Genomic DNA, 9,489 nt, shown 5'->3' on the forward strand with positions numbered 1-9,489 from the left:
ATATTGCAAGACTACAGAATATGGCATTGCTTCATCTTATATGGAGCAAGGTGGTGTGTGAGGAACCAAAATGAATTGGGGAGAATACAACCTCAGTTTCTCCATATAGAATGTTAATAAAATGGCATTTCTTTCTCAATCTCATTCAAATTATGGCTTTAAGCAGTGCTTCTTCTGTCATCACTGGTCAGTCTTATTAATGAGTTTTATCCGCTGATGATAGTATACCTATTAACATTAAGATAATTTATGTAGGATATTAGTTAATCAGATTAATTCTATAACGAAAAGTGAAAATTTCCTCATTTCTTTTATTTACTTATTTATTAAAAATAATTTCAACTTTTATTTTAGATCTGGGGCTACATATTCAGGTTTGTTACATGGGAATATTGTGCGATGCTGAGGTTTGGCGTGTGAATGATTCTGTCACCCAGATTTTAAGCATAGTACCCAATAGCTAGTTTTTCAACCCTTGACCCCCTCCCTCCCTCTCCTCTCTAGTAGTCTCGTCTATTGTTGCCATCTTATGTCTATGAGTACCCAATGTTTAGCTTCCACTTATAAGTGAAAACATACAGTATTTGGTTTTCTGTTCCTGTATTACTTTGCTTAGGATCATGGCCTCCAACTGCATCCGTGTTGTTGCAGAGAACACGATTTTGTTCTTTTTTAAGGCTGCATAGTATTCCATGATGTATATATACCCTATTTTCTTTATTTTTTATTTTTATTTCAATAGTTTTGGGGGACCAGGTGGTGTTTGGTTACATGGATAAGTGCTTTAGTGGTGACTTTTGAGATTTTGGTGCACCCATCACCTGAGCAGTCAGTGTACACTATACCCAATGTGTAGTCTTTTATCCCTTCCCTCCCCGACCCTTCCCTGCAAGTCCCCAAAGTCCATTGTATCATTCTTATGCATTTGTGTCCTCATAGGTTAGCTGCCACTTATGAGTGAGAACATACCACCTTTGATTTTCCATTCCTGAATTACTTCACTTAGGATAATGGTGTCCAACTTCATCCAGGTTGCTGTAAATGCCATTATTTCATTCCTTTTTATGGCTGAGTAGTATTCCATGGTATATATATGTATATCACATTTTTCTTTATCCACTTGTTAATTGATGGGCATTTGAACTAGTTTCATGTTTCTGCAATTGCGAATTGTGCTCCTATGAACATGCATGTGCAACTGTCTTTTTCATATAGTGACTTCTTTTCCTCTGGATAGATACCCAGTAGTGGGATTGCTGGATCAAATCATAGATCTACTTTTAGTTCTTTAAGGAATCTCCATACTGTTGTCCATAGTGGTTGATATGGTTTGGCTCTGTGTCTCCACCCAAATCTCATCTCAAATTGTAATCCCCATGTGTCAAGGAAGAGACTTGATGGGAGGTGATTGGATCATGGGGGCAGTTTCTCCCATGCTGTTCTCATGCTAGTGAGTGATTCTTATGAGATCTGATGGTTTAAAAGTGTTTGGCAGTTCCCCCTTCGCTTTCTCTCTCTCCTGCCACCCTGTGAAGAAGGTACCTGCTTCCCCTTTGTCTTCTGCCATGATCGTAGGTTTCCTGAGGTTTCCCCAGCCATGGGGAATTATGAGTCAATTAAACTTCTTCTCTTTATAAATTACCTGGTCTTAGGTAGTTCTTTACAGCAGTGTAAACATGAACTAATACAGTGATTATACTAGTTTTCATTCCCACTAGCAGTTTAAAGTGTTCCCTTTTCACCACATCCATGCCAACATCTATTACTTTTTTTTTATTTTTTAATTATGGCCATTCTTGTAGGAGTAAGGTGCCTGTCACATTGCGGTTTTGATTTGCATTTCCTTGACAATTACCGATGTTCAGCATTTTTTCATGTTTTTTGGCCACTGTGTATCTTCTTTTGAGAATTGTCTATCCATATCCTTAGCCCACTTTTTGGTGGGATTATTTCATTTATTTTCTTGCTGATTTATTTGAGTTCCTCATAGATTCTGGATATTAGTCCCTTGTCGAATGCATACTTTGCAAAAATGTTCTCTCACTCTGTGGGTTGTCTCTTTACTTTGCTGATTATTTATTTTGCTGTGCAGAAGCTTTTTAATTTAATTTAGTCCCATCTATTTATCTTTGTTTTTGTTGCATTTGCTTGTGGGTTCTTGACTATAAACTCTTTGCCTAGGCCAATGTCTAGAAGAGTTTTTCTCATGTTATCTTCTAGAATTTTTATGGTTTCAGGTCTTAGATTTAAGTCTTTGATTCATCTTGAGTTGTTTTTTGTATAAGGTGAGAGACGAGGGTCCACTTTTATTCTTTTACATGTGGATTGCCAATGATCGCAGTTCCATTTGTTAAGTAGGGTGTCCTTTCCCCACTTTATGTTTTTGTTTGTTTTGTTGAAGATCAGTGGCTGTAAGTATTTGACTTTATTTATCGGTTCTCTATTCTGTTCTATTGGTCTATGTGCCTATTTTTATACCAGTACCATGCTGTTTGGGTGACTACGGCCTTATAGCATATTATTAAGTTGGGTAATGTGATGCCTCCAGATTTGTTCTTTTTGCTTAGTCTTGCTTTGGCTATGTGGGCTCTTTTTTGATTCCATATGAATTTTAGGATTGTTTTTCCTAGTTCCGTGAAGAATAATGATGGTATTTTGATAGGAATTGCACTGAATTTGTAGATTGCTTTTGGTAGTATGCTCATTTTCACAATATTTATTCTACTCATCCATGAGCATAGGATGTGCTTCAATTTGTTCGTGTTGTCTATGATTTCTTTCAGCAGTGTTTTGTTATATTCCTGTAGAGGTCTTATACCTCCTTGGTCAGGTATATTTCCAAGTTTTTGTTGTTGTTGTCATTGTTGTTTTCCAGGTATTATAAAAGGGGTTGAGTTCTTGACTTGATTCTCAGCTTGGTTGCTGTTGGTGTATGGCAGTGCTATTGACTTGTGTACATTGATTTTTGTATTCTGAAACTTTACAGAATCCATTTATCAGATCTAGGAGCTTTTAGGATGAGTCTTTAGGATTTTCTGGGTATATGATCATATCATCAGCAAACAGTGGCATTTCAACTCCCTCTTTACTGACCTGGATGCCCGTTATGTCTTTCTCTCATCTGGATTGTTCTGGCTAGGATTTCCAGTACTATGTTGAATAGAAGTGGTACAAGTGAGCATTCTTGTCTTGTTCTGGTTCTCAGGGGGAATGCTTTCAACTTTCCTCCATTCGGTTTACTGTTGGCTGTGGGTTTGTCATAGATGGCTTTTATTACCTTAAGGTATGTCCATTCTATGCCAATTTTGCTGAGAGTTCTAATAATAAAGGGATGCTGGACTTTGTCAAATGCTTTCTTTGCGCATCTGTTGAGATGATCGTATCATTTTGGTTTTTAATTCTGTTTATGTGATGTATCACATTTACTGACATGCATATGTTAAACCAACCCTGGATCTCTAGTATGAAACACACTTGACCATAGGGTATTATCTTTCCGATATGCTGTTGGATTTGGTTAGCTAGTATTTTGTTGAGGATTTTTGCATCTGTATTTATCAGGGATATTGGTCTGTAGTTTTCTTTTTGGTTGTTGTTATATCCTTTCCTGGTTTGTGTATTAGGGTTATACTGGCTTCATAGAATACATTAGGAAGGGTTCCCTCTTTCTCTATATTTTATAATAGTGTCATTAGGACTGGCACCAATTCTTCTTTAAATGTCTGATATAATTCAGCTGTGAATCCATCTGGTCCTGGGCTTTTTTTTCTTGGCAGTTTTTTTTATTACCATTTTGATCTCACTGCTTGGTATTGGTCTCTTCAGAGTTTGTATTTCTCCCTGGTTTAATCAAGGAGGGTTGTATATTTCAGAAAAGTATCCATATCCTCTAGGTTTTCTAGTTTGTGCACGTAAAGGTGTTCATCGTAGCCTTGAATGATCTTTTGTATTTCTGTGGTATGTTTGTAATATTTCCCATTTCACTTCTAATTGAGCTTATTTGGATTTTCTCTCCTCTTTGTTAATCTCGCTAACGGTCTATCAATTTTAATTGTCTTTTCAAAGAACCAGCTTTTTGTTTCATTTATCTTTTGTATTTTTTGTTGTTGCTGTTTCAATTTCATTAGTTTTGTGCTGATCATGCTTATTTCTTTTCTTCTGCTTTGTTTGGGTTCAGTTTGTTCTTGTTTCTCTAGCTCCTTGAAGTGTGACCTTAGATTGTCTATTTGTGTTCTTTCAGACTTTTTGATATAGGCATTTAATGATACGAACTTTCCTCTAAGGACTGCCTTTGCTGCATCCCAGAGGTTTTTATAGGTTGTGTCACTATTATCGTTCAGTTCAAAGAATTTTTTAATTTCCATCTTGATTTCATTTTTGGCTCAATGATCATTCAGGAGCAAGCTATTTAATTTCTATGTATTTGTATGGTTTTCAGGGTTTCTTTTGGAGTTGATTTCCAATTTTATTCCACTGTGATCTGAGAGAGTACTTGATATAATTTCAATTTTCTTAAATTTATTGAGACTTGTTTTGTGGCCTATCATATGGTCTATCTTGGAGGAAGTTCCATGTGCTGATAAATAGAAAGTATATTCTGCAGTTGTTGGGTAAAATGTTCTGTAAATATCTGTTAAGCCCATTTGTTCTAGATTATAGTTTAAGTTCATTGTTTCTTTGATGACTTTCTGTCTTGATAACCTGCCTAGTGCTGTCAGTGGAGTATTGATGTGCCCCACTATTATTTTGTTGCTGTCTATCTCACTTCTTAGGCCTAGTAGTAATTGTTTTATAAATTTGGGAGCTCCAGTTTTAGGAGCTTATATCTTTAGGATTGTGATATTTTCCTGTTGGACTAGTCCTTTTATCATCATATAATGTCCCTCTTTGTCTTTTTTAACTGTTGTTGCTTTAAGTTCTGTTTTGTGTGATATAAGAATAGCTATTTCTGCTTGCTTTTTGTGTCCATTTACATGGAATCTCTTTCTACCCTTTTACCTTAAGTTTATGTGAGTTCTTATGTGTTCATTGAGTCTTTTTAAGACAGTAGATATTTGGTTGGTGAATTCTTATCCATTCTGCTATTCTGTACCTTGTGAGATTTATCCTTAAAGGAGGATCTATTTTGGTGTATTTCAATTTTGTTTAAAGATTTAGAGCTCTTTTTAGCTTTTTTTTTCTTCTTTTTTTTTTTTTTTTTGGAGTGTTGGCTTTGTAGTAGTGACATCTCTCAGCATTTGTTTGTCTGAAAAAGACTTTATCTTTCCTTCATTTCTGAAGCTTGGTTTTGCTTGATACAAAATTCTTGGCTGATAATTGTTTTGCTTAAGAAGGCTAAAGATAGGACCTCAATCCCCTCTAGCTTGTAGGGATTTTGCTGAGAAATCTGCTGTTAATTCTATTGGTTTTCCTTTATAGGTTACCTGATGCTTTTGCCTCATAGATCTTAATATTCTTTTCTTCATCTTGACTTTAGATAACCTGATGGTTGTGTGCCTAGGCAATTATCTTTTTTCAATAAATTTTCTGGGGAAGTTTTCCTCGATTAATCCCTCAAATAAGTTTCCCAGACTTTTAGATTTCTCTTCTTCCTCAGGAACACCAGTTACTCTTAGTTTTGGTTGTTTAACATAATCCCAAACTTCTTGAAGGCTTTGTTCATTTTTATTTTTAATTCTTTTTTCTTTGTCTTATTGGATTGGGTTAATTTGAAAGCCTTGTGTTCAAGCTCTGAAGTTCTTTCTTCTACTTGTTTGACTCCTCTGTTGAAACTTTCCAGTGTAATTTGCATTTCTCTTAGTGCATCTTTCATTTCCAGAAATTGTGATTATTTTTTCTTTATGATATGTATTTCTCTGGAGAGTTTTTCATCCATAGCCTGTATTATCTTTAAAATTTCTTTAAGCTAGTTTTCACCTTTCTCTGGTGCTTCCTTGAGTAGCCTAACAGTCAACCTTTTGAATTCTTTTTCTGGCAATTCAGAAATTTCTTCTTGGTTAGGATTTACTGCTGGTGAGCTAGTATAATTTTGGGGGGTATTACAGAACTGTGTTTTGTCATATTACTAGAACTGTTTTTCTAGTTCCTTCTCATTTGGGTAGACTATGTCAGAGGAAAGATCCAGGACCCAAGGGTGGCTGTCAGATTCTTTTGTCCCACAGGGCCATCCCTTGATGTGGTGCTCTCCATCTTCCCCTAATGATGGGGCTTCCTGAGTGATTGTTATTACTCTTCTGTGTCTGGCCACCCAGTGGAGCTACCGGGCTCTGGGCTAGTACTGGGGAGTGTCTACAAAGAGTCCTGTGATGTGATCCATCTTCAGGTCTCTCAGCTGTGGATACAAGCACCTGCTCCAGTGGAGATAACAGGGGAGTGAAGTGGACTCTGCAAGAGTTTTCAGTTGTAGTTCTGTTTAGTGAACTGGTTTTCTTGAATGCTGTTTATGCTAGCAGTGAAGTTGTCACATGGACAGACTCAGGACCTCTGGTTAGCCAGGATGTTACAGGTGGTGGAATTAGCTGTTGTTTTCTCCTTCCTTGGAGCGGGATTGTTCTGTTACGAATTGCTGTAATGGTTTGAGTTGGTTGGCCTCCAGCCAAGTGGTAGCACCCGCAAGAAAGCATCAGCTGCAGTAGTATGGGGGCATATGAGCTTGCCCTAAGGTTGCTGGATAAGTATTAAGGTTTCTCCGGTGATGGATGGGGCCACCGAGCCCCCACAGTTTATGCCTTTTGTCTTTGGCTACCAGGGTAGGTAGGGAAAGACCATCGGTGGGGGCAAGGAAATGAGTGTCTTAGCTCAGACTCTCCTTGGGTGGAGCTTGCTGCAGTCACTGTGGAGGATGGGGGTTTGTTCTCAGGCAAATGGAGTTATGTTGCAAGGGGGAATATGTTATGTTCCATGGGGGAATATTGCTGCTTTTGCTGTTTCGTACAGTTTGCCAGGGAAGTGGGGTAAAGTCAGCAGTGACAGACCTCACCCAACTCCCATGCAGCCAGCAAGGCCAATCTCACTCCCACTGTGTTCCTCAACAGCCAACAGAGCTGAATTTACATCCAGGCCTCCAGTGCACAGGGCTGACATCCTGCCCCAGGCTACAAGCCTCCCTGCTAAGAAAGCAAGCCGGGCTTTCAGGCTTGCTTTCTCACTCCCTGCCTGCCTGCCACAGCTTCTGTGCTCCATGTCTGCAATTCCCATCCCACCCGACCCCAGATTCTGCCCAGGAAAGTTCGTGCTCAGTTGAAATTATTCCAAAGTTCAGCTGGAAGTCTCCTTTTCCCATGGCCCTTCCCCAATTCCACTGGCTGCCCTTTCCAGGGACCTCTGTGAGACAAAGTCAGAAATGGCTTCCCTGGCTACTGGGAGTGCCTACAGGGCTCTTCCTGCTGCTTCTTCTACTTTTATATTTCCGTTGGCCCTCTAAATTTGTTTCAGCTCTAGGTAAGGTTAAATCCTTCTCCTATGATCTGGATTTTCAAGTTCCCCAGTGGGGATGTGTGTTTGGAGGTGGACTTTCCCCCTGACACTTTGGGCACTCACAGGTTTTCAGCTGTCTCACGGAGTTAGAAGCAGGAAGCCACTTCTTTCAAAAGGTCTGTGAATTCTTTCGGGTTTCCTGGTATGTTCCTATGGTAGTTCATGGAGTAAAAGTTCATGACGTGAGTTTCCACATTCTGTTCAGTCTGTTTGAGTGGGAGCTGCAAGTTAGCCCTGCCTCTTATCTGCCTTTTTTTAATGAAAAATCTCATCATTTCTGTGCAGAAAAAACAATTATAAAAGTACAGTCTAGAAGTTGAAGCCTAGAATTGGAGGTTGATGTTATAGAACCTTTATTTTTTTCATCATTTTATATGAACCTTGATACCATAACATGCCATGACATGCCATTTGTATATTCTGATATCTGTTAATTCATTTATTTTTATATTCATTTGTTCAGCTAACATTTATTAAGGATATAATATGTGCATAAAATTATGCTTGGCATGAAGGTAGAGCAGAATGGCATATAAAGCTCCACCTCAAGTAGACTTGAGGGTAGCACATATCCAGAAACATCAGTAATATAAAAGGAAAAGTCTTAAATGCCCTAAGATGCAGTTCATATAAGCAAAGGGCACTCAGTATTCAGAAGAAATGAGTCTTTCCCACCCAGACAAAGTAGGGAAGACTTTGTAAAGAGAATAGTGTCTGGTTTGATTTTTAAGAAGGCTGGATTTAAACAGGCTGAGACAATAAAGGATTACGACAGAATGTGGCAGAGACCCTCTAGAATTGCAAGGGAAGTCTGAGCCACTTTGTGGCTGACAAAAAGAAGTGTTTTGTTTGTTTGTTTTTTTGTTTGTTTGTTTACCTCTGACATTGGTCAGTCAAGCTTCGTTTGATTCCCAGTGATAAATCAGGGACTACTTTGCAAATAATTTTTTTCAACCATTCTGTAAATTTCTTATATGTATCCATTTGCTTTTTCAATAAAATGAACTTTTCAGAAATTAAAGAACCACAAATACCTAAAATACCTAAATAAATATATATTTTTGCTACTTTTATTGACAATGCAGATAGAATGAGAGAAAGTTGACAAAACAAGGTGGCAAACAGGAAATTATTAACAAGGATGAATTCAGTGGGCTTAGGGTTTAAGGATAGTAGCACTGAAGTATGACTGGTTCTCAAATAATGTCATTTTGCTATATCATTAATGAGAAAAAAAATTGATTCCCAGCTAGAGCCGCTGTCTGTGTGGAGTTTGCATGCTCTCCTCATGTCTGTGTAGGTTTCTGCAGATACTTTGATTTCCTTCACATCCCAAAGATGTTCTCATCAGGTTAACTGACATGTGTAAACAGTCCCAGTGTTAGTGAGTATGGGTGTGTGAGTGGTCCTGTGATGGGATGGTGTTCTGTCTAGGGTGGGTTCCCACCTTTCCCCCTGTGCTGCCAGCATAGGCTCCAGCCACCCATGACCCTGAACTGGAATAAGCAGGTTGGAAAATGAATGAATGAATGAATACAAATTATTGAAAGTTAAAAAAATGTTAAAGTCTACGATAATCACACAAATGCACAACAATAAACAATTCAGTACAAAAGTGCTTAGTGAGCACATGATATTTGTGTTAGTTTTTGAACTGCATGGTGGTAGGAGGTGCTCCTTACAATGTTCATTTTGCAAATATTTATTTCTTAATTTAACCCACTGCTACTACAACTGTCATCATTCACCAAATCATCAAAAATTAGGTAAATAGTTATCTTACTTGTTTTCATTTATCTTTCTTAAATGTATGTATAGCTCATGTTTATTTCAATGTTTAATATTAGAAATATTTTGGGTCTTTATTTAGAAATTTAATGATGTTTTTGTAACCAAAAAGATGCCATAAGAACTTAACTCTTGTTTATATCAATTAGTGTATAGTAAATTGGTTTAGTTATATTTTAATTATATCACTTAAAATGACAGTTTCCAAGAATCCATCAGTGAGGT

The sequence above is a fragment of the Homo sapiens genome, chromosome 5 (assembly GCF_000001405.40).
Source record: "Homo sapiens chromosome 5, GRCh38.p14 Primary Assembly".
In the NCBI taxonomy this organism is placed as follows: Eukaryota; Metazoa; Chordata; class Mammalia; order Primates; family Hominidae; genus Homo; species Homo sapiens.